The 16,410-nt window shown below is 35.4% G+C and overlaps 1 protein-coding gene across 11 annotated transcripts in view; it reads left to right on the top strand.

Annotated features, from left to right (window-relative positions):
* The window catches only part of DZIP3 (DAZ interacting zinc finger protein 3), a 105,331-nt gene extending 89,308 nt beyond the window's left edge, over window positions 1–16,023 (top strand). For 10 of the 11 annotated variants that reach the window (XM_005247917.4, XM_005247914.5, XM_047449256.1 and 7 more), the window contains 7 exons: window positions 5,399–5,524; window positions 7,628–7,767; window positions 9,159–9,279; window positions 9,776–9,919; window positions 10,006–10,107; window positions 11,970–12,086; window positions 14,543–16,023. In XM_005247917.4, coding sequence (XP_005247974.1) covers window positions 5,399–5,524; window positions 7,628–7,767; window positions 9,159–9,279; window positions 9,776–9,919; window positions 10,006–10,107; window positions 11,970–12,080 — 744 coding nt within the window. In that variant the 3' untranslated portion in view covers window positions 12,081–12,086; window positions 14,543–16,023. Of the gene's footprint in view, window positions 1–5,398; window positions 5,525–7,610; window positions 7,768–9,158; window positions 9,280–9,775; window positions 9,920–10,005; window positions 10,108–11,969; window positions 12,087–14,542 lie in introns of those variants that run through there. The other variant, XM_047449255.1, reaches the window with a different exon arrangement.
* Window positions 16,024–16,410: the final 387 nt, after the last annotated feature.

The following is a 16,410-nucleotide window of genomic DNA, read 5'->3' on the forward strand; positions in this document are numbered from 1 at the left end:
AATGTTATTTCTCCTCATGGTTGAGTATAACAAAGAATTTAAAAATTATATAATTTGTATGGAGTTACACTGTTTCAAAAGCAGGATCTATAGCTAAAAGAATTATGGGATATACATCATGGGCTTTAGTTTAGAATGATAGTTTTGCCTTTTATATTTTTGGTCAATTCAGTTTCTATAGGAACACTGGATTATGAGCATTATTATTCTAGGCTTGGATCATCATCATACCCAACTACTCTGATAAGGAATGTGTTCCAGAGAAATTCCAAAGATTCCCTGCAGTAACACATATTTTTTTGTGGGATGTCTAAAAACACTGTACCTTCTGCCCACATTCAAAATACTGTCCTTAGATTGTAGTTAAATTCTTCAATGGCTCTTAACTATAAAATGGGTCCAGAGACTGTGAAGCTGTTGTTTGGAGTTTCCTGGAACCAGACCAGTATAAGCCTTGGCTGTCTGATACAAGTGATATTCTTTAGCTGACAAACATAGTCAAACCTTGACCTCCAGACCCTCCAGATCCTTTTATCCCTTTGGAGACTTTCTTATGTCTGACATGTCTTACCCGGGTTTAGTTAAGTACAAAAACCTACTGGCAGTTAGGCTGTGTGGTAATTTATAAGCATCCTTTGCTAACATTCTGAGGGGTTCACCTGTATCTTTTGTGCTTCCTAATTAGGGTCACTGCTGTGCTTGATTAAGCTAACAGTTGTGTTAAAGTACAAGCATTGGTGACCACTGAGCATCAGAGGAGAGAGTTTGGGAGAAGAGCACCTAGAAACGTTACAGTGCTATTTGCTGTAAATTGAGATGGTACCTACAATGGAAGTACACTAATGAGGTCTGGGTTCAGATCCTAACTTTGTGAAGAGCTATGTTGATCTTGGGAAAAATCAGCTCTTCTGGACTTTTGATTTCCCATCAGTGAATTAGGAAATTGTACTGGATGATCTGATCACTCAAGTCCCATCTATTTCTGGGATACTAGTGTTCTAAGGAGTGGTCACCAGACTTCCATAGTAGAGACTTCTATGAAAGTGTGGATTGTTCCCAGTTTAACCCAGTAATTCTATGTGTTTCATTGTATCTTGATTTTTGTAGCTTGGCTATTTAATCCTCAGAGAAGTGTTAGTACCATTAAAAAGATCATGCAATGGTTATTTAAAATACACAAATCAGTAAATATGATACATCATATCAACAGAAAGAAGGACAAAAACCATATGATCATTTCAATAGATGCAGAAAAAGCATTTGACAAAATTCAACGTCAGTTTATGATAAAAATTCTCAAAAAATTAGGTATAGGAGGTACATACCTCAACACAATAAAGGCCATATATGACAAACCCACAGCTAACATTATACTAAATGGGAAAAAGTTAGAAGTGTTTCCTCTGAGATCTGAAACAAGACAAGGATGCCCACTTTCACTATTTCTATTAAAAATAGTACTAGAGGTCCTAGCCAGAGCAGTTAGGCAAGGGAAGGGAATAAAAGACATCCAAATTGGAAAGAAGGGAGTCAGACTGTCCCTTTTTGTAGACAAATGATCTTATATATAGAAAATCGCAAAGACTCCACTTAAAAACTCCTAAAACTAACAAATTTGGTAAAGATTCAGGATTCAAAATCAACATACAAGAATCAATAGCATTTCTGTTTACTAATAGTGAACAGTCTGAAAAAGAAATTAAGAAAATCCCATTTACAATAGCTACAAAAAACAAAGATACCTGGGAATAAATTTAACCAAGGAGGAGAAAGATCACTACACTGAAAACTATCAAACATTGGTGAAAGAAATTGAGGACACAAAGAAATGGAAAAATACATCATATTCATGGATAAGAAGAATTCAAGGAAATGCAAACCAAAATTACAAGGTATCACCTCTCTTTAGTTAGAATAGCTACTGGTACCAAAACAGATATATAGACCAATGGAACAGAACAGAAGCCTCAGAAATAACGCCACACATTTACAACCATCTGATCTTTGACAAACCTGACAACAACAAGCAATGGGGAAAAGATTCCCTATTTAATGAATGGTGTTGGGAAAACTGGCTAGCCATTTGCAGCAAAAACTGGAACCCTTCCTTACACCTTATACAAAAATCAACTCAAGATGGATTAAAGACTTAAATGTAAGACCTAAAACCCTAAAACCCCTAGAAGAAAACCTAGGCAACACCATTCAGGACATAGGCATGGGCAAAGACTTCATGACTAAAACACCAAAAGCAATGGCAACAAAAGCCAAAACTGACAAATGGGATCTAACTAAAGAGCTTCTGCACAGCATCAGAGTGAACAGGCAACCTACAGAATAGGAGAAAATTTTTGCAATCTTATCCGTCTGACAAAGGGCTTATATCTAGAATCTACAAAGAACTTAAACAAATTTACAGGAAAAAAACAACCCCATCAAAAAGTGGGCAAAGGATATGAACAGACACTTCTCAAAAGAAGACATTTATGTGGCCAACAAACATATGAAAAAAAGCTCATCATCACTGGTTATTAGAGAAATGCAAATCAGAACCACAATGAGATACCATCTCACGCCAGTTAGAATGGCAGTCATTAAAAAGTCAGGAAACAACAGATACTAGAGAGGATATGGAGAAATAGGAACACTTTTACACTGTTGGTGGGAGTGTAAATTAGTTCAACCATTGTGGAAGACAGTGTGACGATTCCTCAAGGGTCTAGAACCAGAAATACCATTTGACTCAGCAATCCCATTACTAGATATATACCCAAAGGATTGTAAATCATTCTACTATAAAGACACATGCACACATATGTTTATTGCAGCCCTGTTCACAGTAGCAAAGACTTGAAACCAACCCAAATGCCCATCAGTGATAAACTGGATAAAGAAAATGTGGCAAATATACACCATGGAATACTCTGCCGCCATAAAAAAGGATGTGTTCATATCCTTTGCAGGGACATGGATGAAGTTAGAAGTCACCACTCTCAGCAAACTAACACAGGAATAGAAAACCAAACACTGCATGTTCTCACTCATAAGTGGGAGTTGAACAATGAGAACACATGGACACAGGGAGGGGAACATCACACACTGGGGCCTGTCGGGGGGTGGGGGCTGGGGAGGGATAGCATTAGGAGAAATACCTAATGTAGATGACGGGTTGATGGGTGCAGCAAACCACCATGGCACATGTATACCTATGAAACAAACCTGTACATTCTGTACATGTATCCCAGAACTTAAAGTATAATAATTAGAAAAAAAAAGAACAGCTATTATCAAAAAACAAATGATATCAAATGTTGGCGATGATGTGGAGAAAAGGGAACCCTTACACACTGTTGGTGGGAATGTAAATTAGCGCAGCTATTATGGAATACAGTATCGAGGTTCCTCAAAAAATTAAAAATACAACTACCATATGCTCCAACAATCCTACTACTAGGTATAGTGGGAAAGGACATGAAGTCAAGTATCCTGAAGAGACACCTGCACTCCTATGTTCACTGCAGTATTATTTACCATTGCTAAGATATGTCATCTACATAAGTGTCCATAAAGGTTGGATAAAGAAAATGTATATATACACAATGAAATACTACTTAGTCATAAAAAAGAATGAAATCCTGTCATTTGTGACAACATGGATGACCCTGGAGGACGTTATGTTAAGTTAAATAAGCCAGACACAGAAAGACAAATACTACCTGATCCCACGCATGTGGAATCTAAAACAGTTGGTCTCATAAAATTAATGAAAAAACAGTGGTTACCAGAGACTAGGGAGGATAGATGGAAGGCAAGCACAGGGAGAGGTTGGTTGGTCAATGGGTACAATTAGAAAGGAAGGATAAGTTCTGGCGTTCTATTAGTAAGATGATTATAGTTAACAGTAAGGTATTATATATCTCAAAATGGCTAGAAGAGAGGATTTTGAATATTAGAACCACAAAGAAATGACAAATGAAGTGATGAATATGCCAATTACCCTTTGATCGTTACACCATACATGTATACATGTATGAAAACCTCACATTGTACCCCATAAAAATGTACAATTATGTGTCCATTGAAAATAAAAATAAAGTGTTAGGTAATAGTGGTTCTCAAACAGAGCAGGACTGTTGACTCAGTACCCACCATTCATTCATTTTTTTAAGACTTTACATGTAAAAAATTTGACACATATGTAAAAAATAGTATAATCAACCTCTTCAAACCCAGGAGCCAGCCTCAGCATTATCAATATATTGTCAGCCTTGTTTTATGTCATTCCCTTTTTCCTCTCCACTGGAATATTTTAAAGCAAACCCCAGATATCATCCAATTTATCCATTTATGCTTTAGGATATATCCTAAAAGATGAGGAACTCTTACTGGATATAATCATAACACCATTGTCTTACCTAAGAAAATTATAATTTTTAATATCCAGTTAGAATTTTTGTTTCCCAGTTGTTTAAAAAATCTCTTTTTCTTACCTAGCAATCACATAATGTTCTTTTAAGATGTTAAAACTCAAATGCCAGTCCAGTCTATCCATTGTAAAGTTCCCCATTAATTTTTCACATGATATTTTTAGGATCATTACTTAGAGCTATGTTGCTGTTCCTCATTTTTTAAGTTCAGTAACAAATTGTTATTGAACTCCTGCTTTATGCTTAATGCCAGTAGTAGGGCTGGCATGTACTACATATCCAATAAATCTGCCCCCTTCTCTGCTCCAGCCAGCAAGGTATCTTTTCCACAGATAGCTGCTAAGAAGGTCTAGATTTCCATAACCCCCTGGGAAGTACGGTAATACCCACAAGCATATCTGCAAATCACTATAGCAGAGTTTATCTCCCAGGCCCATCCCACTTCCTCCTCCAGCTCTCCTTGGAGCTAAACATTAAGTCAAAATTTCATCAAGTATTACCTCCAATATAAAATATTTTCTATGGATAACTTTGGGTTGTTCTGTGAAATTTCTGAGTATCAATATTGCCCACCAACATAGATAACACTTCCTGAGAATCTCCTTTGCATAGTTCTATGTGATTACAGTTGGGAGGGAACCTTAATGATTACCTTATCCAACCCTCTCATTTTATAGATTAGGAAATTGGTTTCCAAGGTTATTCAGCTACGTAGAGAGAAATGTGACTAGAAGCTATTTCTTTTCTGTCTTTGTCAATGCTGTTTTCAATATATCTCATTGCCCTTTGTTTTTCCAATATTCATATGTTTCATTTTCTGACATACATTGTTTCTAATGTGCTTTGTATCTTGAGTTCAAATGAGTGTTCCCCCCGCCATATTGCTGTATGAATTTAGATGATTGCCTAAATAAATATATAAATATGTGGGGGGGGGTGTTGTTTATTATTGTTTATATTTTCTATTTTAGATGCAGCAGTTCTTAGGAAGACCTCTTGTGAAAGAATCTTTCTTTAGACCCATACTTACTGTTCCTCAAATGCCTGCAGTTTGCCCGGGAGTCGTCTCTGCAACTGGCCAACCTAGAGCCCCCCTGGTAAAAGCTTTCTTGGTGGAATAGATGTTAATTAGTTTTTTTATTACTCTAGTGGGCTTCCTGAATGAGTATCTTCATTTTGTTCATTCATTTGATATGATAATGATGGGGGTGGTGGTGATAATTGAATGAATACTTCCTGTGAAGCACTGTGCTCAGGGTGTTACATATATTATTTAACTGATACTAGCTTCGTTTTGGGATACAAAGATAAATATGTTTTTATACTAGAGAATCCTTAAAATTATAGTATTGCTTCTGAAATAGGCAACAATGCAGGGTAAATTGACATTTTTAATAGATTTTTTTGGCATGGTTGTTGGGAAGATTGAAAAGCAAAGAAGCCAAGTCACAACAAACTATATTATGGCACAAAGCTAAAGAAAAATTTTATTTCCACACACGTACACACACATAGTAGGACAGTATTTCAAGTGTATCTATAAACAGACTATAAATAGCATCACCTTGAAACATAAACTGTAAAGTTATAAATCTTCCCAGCTACAAATAGCCAGATAAACTTTATCCAAACCTGAAGAAGGAACATATAAATTTGAAATTACCAGAATTATCAGTTGTAATCTTGGTGAAGGTTTTTTATTAAAGGAAAATCTTCCAAAAGAATGATGTTAGATGTAATTAATGAAAATTCTCTAATCTTGATTTTCCTATAAGTATAATTAGGTGCAATTAATTGTTTCTTTTCTTTTCTGCTCCCCATATATTGCTAACAGTTTCCTTTTGAAATACATGGTCAGGTGGACTCTGCTTATTATTGTCGAGGCTACCTGTCTATAAACAAATCTGTATATAGTCCTTAATATGTTAAATAAGTAACACATCTTTTTACTACCATGATATTACAGTGTTAACTCTTGCAATTTGCTTGCCCACCATTCTATAAGAAACTATGATAAAATTTTATTAAAAACATTAAAATACCTTAATCTCCTAATAAGATTACTTTCTGATTCCTGGGGTAAAGCTTGACATAGAAGCAAATTCAGATTTCTGGGAAATATTCTGCTTCCCCTCACTTCTTAGGCTCTGTACAAATTATTACAGTGACTGTTAGTAGTTGCTAGTTTTTCATGAATAATAACCTAATATTTGAAAATAACCCATTAGAGCCTTACATAAAAGGTGCAAGTGGTCATAATTATCTTAGTAATCAGATGAGCACTCCAAAAATACTCTGTTATTATATTATTTAATTAGAATCTTAAGAAGGAACTACCATAAAATATGGAGAAAAGTGATGGTTTCATGGCTGCATGTCACTACAACTTCTGCACCACTTTTGTCTACAACATTGATGAGACATTGGGCAGAGCAGTTCTAGTAGTATTCCCATCTTTATTTGGTTGTTTGAAAAATGTAACTTTACTTTCTCGTTATAAAGGTATATATGCTAATCACAAAATGCGAATAATATAGAAATGTAAGCACATTAGAAAACAAAGTTACTGTGCAATTGATCCCTAAGAAATAATCACTTCTTACGCATTGTAATTTACAGACCTTTCTCCGTGTATACATATGCATTTAAAATTTTTTAATGTAAAAGGAAGTCGTATCATAAATACTGTGCCACAGACTTTTTAAAAAATCATATTTCATGCATATCTCTTATGCCCAGACATACAGTTCTATTTTTAAAAACTTGATTAGATGTGCCATAATTTATTCATTTCTCTATAGATGTAAGGTTTTTTCAGTTTTCACTGTTAAAAGAGAAACAGCAGTAAACAGCCTTCATGTTTTGCTGTACATGTATGTAATTACTGAAGCAAGCATGTCCTATTTTAAAAATAAGTTTAAATATTTATAAACAGTTAGAAATATTGTTTGTATTAGTTAAGAGAAAAACCCTAAAAGGGATTGTGTATGCCAGTATTCTTCTTCATTCTACCCTTTTCTTTGTCCTATTTTTAAAATAAGTTTAAAATAGTTACAAACAATTAGAAATATTAAGAGAAAAACTGTAAAAATTGAATGTGTATGCCAGTACGCTTCTTCATTGTACCCATTTTCTGAGGTATAGGAATGTCACTTCTTAATAATTAAACCTGCTGGGCTATAGCTCTCTGCCTCTTACAGATGACTGGCATAGCCTGGGCTCTGCCAGCGCCTGTGGGAGACGCTGTGCCTCCCAGTGCAGGTCTGCGGAGTGATCCCTCCATCATGAATTGGGAGAGAATTACAGACAGGCTGAAAACTGCCTTTCCACAGCAAACCAGGTACCTTAGTTTTTATTTATTGGTGGGTACAGATCATATTCTCCAGTTTTCATAGCCATAATTGTGGCAATGAAACATTTCAGAGAAACATAACAAACACAAAAAAAGTACAGATGTTTCCTTACCTTGACCTTGGTAAGGAAAAAGAAATTTACCAAGAAGAGACAGTGTTCAATGGTGAACCTCTTCATTAAAAAGTTACTTGTCTTAAATCATGAGAGAATAACTTTAAATTTAGGTATGCTCATTTACTAAAAGTACAACTAGATGTAAACTTACCCAATTTTAATGGCACTAACTGCCATTATTATCTTAACCTATCTCCAAAGTGAATTTTAAGTTGATTGTATGCTATATAAGCCCAAACATCTTTAGGATTTAATTTCCTAATTTCCTTAATTTTGAGGGTCCTTATAGTTTCTTTGTTGGAGAACACACTAAAAATGCAAGAAATCATAACTTTACTGTGCTTTTCACAGTCTACCTTTAGTAGAAAGATATTTAATTATATTCCTACACAAATGAAGTTTCTTTTATCTCAACTCATATCTAAGGAAATAATTCTACTTTTCACAAGTATTTTTATTTCAATACAAACATTTAATATATATACTGGCACACTTCATTATTAAATTATAATTTTATAAATTTCATAATAGTGAATAGATAATAAAATAGAACTCTAGTACAGTTGTTATAAATATGTATAAAAACATTATAAATCAAAGGTAGTTGCATAAGGCTGATGACATGACACTTCATTTGGGAAACAAAAATATTTCATTCTACTTTGTCCCATCAAAACTGTAGATGCAGGCTTTGGATCAATGGATCTTGGGAATTAAAAAGGAACATATCAATTAAAATAATTGTGGGTTCTTTCATTATATAATTAATGTGATTTTTAACCCTTGCTTTCCTGTTCTGTTTAATCTTTGTTTTCTGAGTTTTACGAAAGTACAACTATTAACACTGATAAAGAAGAGAGAAACCAATAGCAACATAGTTAAAAATAAATATGTTATCCTGAGCAAGAAACCACTTGAGAGATGGTATAAAGAACCCAATGCATAAATAAGTGGATAAACTTAATTTTCACCTAGTGAGCTCTCAAAAACGAAGTCTCTTTTTGGAAAGAAAATAAGTACTAAACTTTATCACTCATGAAAACATTAAGTATCATTAATGAACACAATTAGGAGTTTTCCTTTTGGTTTAAGATAAATGCAGATGGACCTGTGATCACTTTTTTAGATCAAAGACCTAAAGAGTCCTGTCTGTATGCTACATATCAATCATGCGATAGGATTTTATATCTCCTTTGGTGGGTACATCCTCAAAGGTACTAAGGAAAATCATTACTGCCCTTTCCTTTCCTTGATCTCTTGCAGAAAGGAACTTACAGATTTCTTACGGAAATTGAAGGATGCTTATGGAAAATCCTTGTCTGAACTGACATTTGATGAAATTGTTTGCAAGATTTCCCAGTTTATTGACCCCAAAAAGTCTCAGGTAAAATGCAAAAACAACCAAAAAACCTGTATCTCTCTGCCCTTAACTCTAGTAGTTAACTGTTTTAAATATCTCCATAACCTGTTCAGAAAATCAGTAACTTGTAATCATATTAAATCATCTATTAACAGTAAATAACAACTTCAACTTAACAAATGATATCAGAAGTCTTTTTGAAATACCTGTTACCTAATCATTCTAGAATAAAACTGACCTCCTTGAAATTTGCTCTAGTTTCTTTGAATGAGTCTAAAGAGGGAGAGATTTTCTAATTTTCTTGAAAGATTTATTTTAATTAAAAGAATGTATAGAGTTATTTTTGTTTTTACCTAGCTCTGAGTATATAAGTATTGCCACCATTTTGTTCAAGATTTCTCACAAATCTGATTATTTACCCTTTTGCTAGTTCTTACTATACCCCGTTCTGTACTAATGTTTCAGCTCTTACTGTTTTAGGATAATTCTGAAAAAATAAACATTATGTTCTTATTTTCAGAGTCAAGGAAAATCAGTGTCAAATGTTAATTGTGTTTCACCTAGTCATTCTCCATCACAGCCTGATGCTGCCCAGCCCCCAAAACCAGCCTGGAGGCCACTCACTTCACAGGGTCCTGCCACATGGGAAGGAGCCAGTAATCCAGTGAGACTGAAATTTTTGATTCTGAACACATTTAGATTTGGGAGAAAACAATGAGCTAAATTTAACATTTTCTGTATTTTCCCTAGGATGAGGAAGAGGAAGAAGAAGAGCCTTGTGTGATCTGTCATGAGAATCTGTCTCCAGAAAATCTTTCAGTTTTGCCTTGCGCTCACAAATTCCATGCTCAGGTAACACTTTAAATTTTCCCATTAATCAGCTAAATGAGATTCATACTGCCTTACTTATTATCATATACATGTATCATTATCCATTGTTGTCTCACAAGTTCCACTGGATATAACTCTGAGCTTTTGGGTACCACACAGAAACATTTATGCTTTTCCCATACATAGCCATGGATTGCATTGTGCTCTCTCAGATCTCCATCCACCCTACAGAAGAAGGGGACAATGTTGAGAGTCAGATGGTACACAGTAGGCAGTTCCTTCGAATAGAACTGGGACAAATGTCGATTGACGTGGTAGTTTAGTGGCAGAACTAGCAACAGCACCACTTGAAATTGACATGCTATAAATACCACATAGTGTCCTTTGTCCATAATTAATGACAGCCCCCTTTCATAAAGCATAAGATTTATCAGTCTCTTCAGGCTTCTATATTTGCTTTTGAAAGATACTCAGGCTTGAGTTTTGATGTTAGAAAAATGTGAGGCATGGTGGCTCACACCTGTAATCCCAGCACTTTAGGAGGCTGAGGTGGGTGGATCATGAGGTCAGGAGATCGAGACCATCCTGGCTAACACTGTGAAACCCCATCTCTACTAAAAATACAGAAACAAAATTAGCCGGGCGTGGTGGCGGGTGCCTGTAGTCCCAGCTACTCAGGAGGCTGAGGCAGGAGAATGGTGTGAACCCAGGAGGTGGTGCTTGCAGTGAGCCGAGATCGGGCCCCTGCACTCCAGCCTGGGTGATAGAGTGAGACTCCATCTCAAAAAAAGAAAAAGAAAAATATGAGGTTGGCATGTCTTTTGTTGATTCTTGGCATTTATATAGATTAAATTCTGGTGTTACTGCCACACAGTTGCTATTGGTATATAATTAATGATCCAAGTCCTCTGTTGCAGAGATGTAATTTGACACAGGAAAAGGTAGTCATAGTAAAGAAAGGCTTTTCAGGGAAGTAAATAATAGCCAGTTCAGTCAAGCCATGTTTGTAAGACATCATTTCAAAGATATGATATGTGGTACCTGGTACAGAATTATATTTTGTATTTGCTCTAATATGAAGATACATCCACAAAATGCCTAATCCCAAAAGTTTTCTAGGAAAGATCCTTAGCCATTGACTTTCCCCTTTGAAGTTTATAAGGTTCTGACAATTTAGGAAATACATGTTTAACAAAACTTATCCTACTCTTTGCCATTGCCCACAAGTAGAAAGCATATAATTCATTCAGGTCATTTTTTATGACTATAGTTAGTGGGCCTATTATATATAGTGCTTATTATTAATCCTCTCTCATCTGACCTGGCCCTCCATTATTTATATACGTAAAAATGATTTGTTTTTGGAGAGTCAGCATTCAAGCAAGTGACTTAACAGATAGTTCATAGCCGAAAATTACTGTCATTATCGCCAAAGAAAACAATCTGAGAAGTGTATTCATGATCTAGGGATTTTAACTGCAAACACCATAAGCATTTCATACCAGGTACTAGTGACTTTTGTATCATTAGTTATGACTTTTTCTGGATTATAAATGAGAACAGTATATAGTAAACCAAAGAATATAGCAAGTTTCTCCAATTTCCTTGTCAGGAAGGATTGCTAGTCATCTTGAAAATTGAGGTTGAAGGAAGCATTTCTAGTAGAATAAACTGGCTAAAAGGTATTGTGCAGTTACCACCTATTTTGTTTAGCAAACCACAGGGAAGGTGCCATGGTTGCAGCAATTGGTTTGACGATCCACAGCGTAAGGCTTTAAAGATCCACCAGAAGACATGTTGGTTGGTAACCCTGATGCATAGAGTGACAACTGCCTCTGCTAGGCTACATCTGAGAGACTGACATAAATCTTTTTGCTCCTTAGTGCATTAGACCATGGTTGATGCAACAGGGGACATGTCCAACGTGCAGACTCCACGTTTTGCTACCAGAAGAATTCCCTGGTCACCCCAGCCGGCAGTTGCCCAAGATCTGATACAAGGTCGGGGTGTCTATGCAAAGGAAGCTCAGTTTTCTTTTATTATGAGCTGCTTGTTTGAGTGGTGTAAAACTATGTGCTCTTCAATATAGTGCTAAAGAAGCCAGCTAATTTTATCAAAGCAGCAGCCAAAGAAGTCAGGACAAATCTTCAGGACTTGTGAAATGAACTGAAAGAGCTTGAAGCAGATGGAATTTTAATAGTTACACTATATATGCTCTTAGTAGGTTTTTTTCTTGTAGTGGAAACATAACTGTTAGCATATTTCTTAGGATGTTTTTTCTTGTCTTTTTAAATTCTTATTTCACTCATCCTTTACTCTCCCCTCAAGTATTCTACACTTTAATTTCCTGAAATAAATTTAAGGAAAAGGGAAATAGTAAAGAAGTAGGAATGGGTGCAGCACACCAGCATGGCACATGAATACACATGTAACTAACCTGCACATTGTGCACATGTACCCTAAAACTTAAAGTATAATAATAATAAAAGAAAAAAAAAAGAAAGTAAAAAAAAAAAAAGAAGTGGATATTCACGGAGAGCTATGAGGGGATAAAAGGGTATGATCTAATGGTAAGAAACTGGAAGAAACATAGCAAGTCATTTGTTCAGATTCTTCTCTGTGTCCCTGTGTCTCCAGAGATAAGGATGTCCTTTTCCTCCAGGTATACAGTGGGTACCTCTAGAATGAGGGTCTTATGACCTGCTTCCAGGGAAGGTCAGAGAATCCTTCCTAGGTTTTATGACTTGTTTCTGGGAAGAAGTGCAGGAGGAAAGTGAGTGAGACTTCCCTGCTTCTGCTGTTTTCTCAAACATCAAGATGCCATATTTTGGAGTAGCATGTCTTAAATCTCATCACCCGTCTCAGGTGCAGTTTCATGGCCATGAAGAAGACAGAAAGACCACTCATACCTGCATAAGTATTATCACAAACTTTCTTATCTTCTGTTTGTTCTCCTGAAAACCCATTTGTCTTTCCTAAACGAACCAATTTGTCCTTCCCATAGATGTCTTTCTCCCCCATTCCTTTCCCCTACTAAGTTAGGTATATAAGCCCCAAATTCTAACCACACTTTTCAGTTACTCTTCACGGAACACTCCCACATGTGCGAACATTGTCCGCATAAATAAGCTCTTTTCTCTTACTAATGTCTTTTTTTCAGTTTAATTTGCAGGCTCCTATTGAAATAACAAAAGTTGGTAGAGGAAAAAGTTTTTTCTCCCCTACAAAGGCCAAGAACATTTTGGCTTTATATTTATATTTATATTATAATGTGAATTGATTATAATTATAATGTGAATTGATAGAAATATATATATTTTTTTTCTGCCCCTGCTTGGCACATGACAGAACATGGGCATAGACAGACTGGCTATTGGTAATCCAGTCCTGGGAGATGATCAGGAGGCAGTACTCAATCCTACTTTCTTCTCTACAGCTTCCCATGGGCTAAAGAATTTACATGTCTGCCCACAGCAAATGTACTCAGGCTTCTACACTAACATAAGCCCACGGAAATGAAACAGAAAGGGACAGTTCATATGTTTCTGAATAGATCCAGTTGAATAGTCTCATTCAATTTGAGACTGTTGAACAACTGTTGTTGTTCTACATACATTTAAAGTCAGGGCACATGCGTCACTGCTTATTTTTCTTACTTGACATATTCCCTGCATTTCCATGTCTGCCTGTCCTTTAGATAAACAGTAAAAGTTTCCCATGTGCCAGTATTTCTCAAATGGTTTACATCAGAATCACCTGGAGGACTTTTAAGCTAGATTGTTTGGTCCCATCCCAGGGATTCTGAATCAACAGGTTTGCGATGGGTCCAGATAGTTTACTTTTCCAAGTTTACTAACAAGTTTGCCAAGTTCCCCCAGTTTATTACCATTAGACCATACCTTTTTGTCCAATCATTTAAAACAAATTTTTATATAATAAGTTTTATTTGTATGTAATAAATTTTATTATATAAAAATAAGTTTTAATATATATTATATAAAAAGTTTTAATAAATACCTAATATATTATTTAATATGATAAAACTTATATTAAATGAAATTTTATGCTGTTCTCTTGTCAATCTGTCTTTTGTTATCTTGCTGGTGTGCCTGTCATGTGAGGGACTGCAATCTGATATGCCTGTTTTCCACAGTCAAAGCAATTACAAGAGAATTGTTACAATTACCCAGTTATGTCAAGAGATTTTTTTTTAATTCACTAAGGTAGAGATAAGGAGAATGTATTAAAATAGGATATTTTAATTATAAATGCATGACTGGGGAGGGGGTATTGTTTTTGAATAAAATATGAGGTTATTTGCCATGACAAAAAAAAAAAGAAGTAGGAAAATCCCATGGAAATTTATGTTCCTTCTAACTTTTAAAACTACCTAAAAAATATAATTGATTTAAATTATATCTCAATATTCCCCATTCTTTTATATCCCCTTAAATAGGTACCCATGAAGAGATTATGAACTACTTGAAGGTGGAGACTGTACGGTGGTGTGTTGGAGCTGGCTTGTAATGTCTTATGAGTGACAATCGTTAGTTTGAGGAATTTTGTGAGACAGTTGTCAAATTGTTGCTAGCTTGAAATCTGCGGCAATTGGAGTATTTACACCATAGAAATGCTATAAGTGAAGACCTACCTTTCCCTTAAGAGCTAGTTGTTAAACCTTTACCAGCATACCACTGGACCTTGTCTAAAATTTCTTTGTGTTCCCAGTGTCTTGCCCAGTAGATACAAGATAAATATTGCCAGAATCAGATATCAGGAAGTAGTAAGAAAAGGAGTTAATATGCAAACTAAATCACTCGCTCAATTGAATAATTGAGATCTTCTGTTCATTTGTTCCTTGGACCTTAATCATTTGCATTTTGGAGAAAATTTTTTCTGCTTTAAAAGTCTGTAATTTCAGTTTTTGTGTCGGGGAGAGGGAAAAACTATTTGTCTGTAGTTGCTTTTTGTGACAAAGTGAATACCCACTGGGCTAAGTTTCATATCTAAAGCTTGTCACTAAGAATTTTCATTTTTAGGGGTCAAAAACCTATTTTGAAAATAGTGTTGTGTGAATGCTGTAAGTGTTGTACATGTCTCTGGTTTCAGAATTAAAAGAATTCAGAGTTACCTTGTGAGATAAATGTTCTTTGCTTCATATTCACAGTTTCACCTCCATTTAAATTTATGGGGAAGAATAAATGTTTCCTGACTCAGAAACAATTTTGCCTCCATATTTCAGTGCAAATATATTTTGAAGTTACTTTTAAATATTTATTTAAAACCTCTGTTTCTGTAACTGTATGTTAAACGTATTCTTCTGTAATGAGAATAGACTGGAACATGTGAGGGAAAAATATTTAAAAAAAGATGGCAGTCATCTAGACATGTAAAATGCCAAGAATGTCTTAGAATTGCACAATTTAGAATTTATAGAGCCTTTAATCACCTTGTCTAGCACCTTGTATTAGTCCATTTTCATGCTGCTGATAAAGACATACCTGAGATTGGGCAATTTACAAAAGAAAGAGGTTTAACGGACTTACAGTTCCACATGACTAAGGAGGCCTCACAATCATGGTGGAAGGCAAAGAGGAGCAAGTCACATCTTACATGGATGGCAGCAGACAAGGAGAGAGAGCTTGTGCAGGGAAACTCCCATTTTTAAAACCATCAGATCTCATGAGGCTTACTATCACGAGAACAGCATGGGAAAGACCTGCCCCCGTGATTAAATTATTTCCCACCAGGCCCCTCCCACAACATGGAATAATGGGAGATACAAGATATTTGGGTGGAGACACAGAGCCAAACCATATCACACCTTAAGGTCATGGTCATATAGCTAGTTATCTTGTAAAACCAATGTTTCTTAGTTCATACTTACAACTGCAATTTCACTTTCATTTAGAAAAGAATAAATGTTTCTTAATTGAACAACTATTTTATCTGTGTATTTCATTATAAGCATATTCTGAAACTACTTGAAATCTTTACTTCAAATGTATCTTTCTGTTTAATTGGGCTTAAACTTTTTCTACTGTTTTGAGAAACGTTAGGAAAATGGGAAGGAAAATATCCAAGAAGACAGTTATATAGACTTATAAAATGCCACGATTGTTTTAAAATAACAGAATGCCAAAGTTCATTGGGTCCTTAGTGACATATAATACATTTTCTTATTTTACAGGTATGTTGTACCCAATGTCACATGGCCAGATAGTGGCTAGGCCAGTCTCAGTACTTGAGGGTCTCTGATGCCTCATCACATGCTTTCTCCACAAACTCATGTTGTAATAGGGTATTGGTGTTGACTTGCCATGC

This window comes from Homo sapiens, chromosome 3, assembly GCF_000001405.40.
Source record: "Homo sapiens chromosome 3, GRCh38.p14 Primary Assembly".
Lineage (NCBI taxonomy): Eukaryota > Metazoa > Chordata > Mammalia > Primates > Hominidae > Homo > Homo sapiens.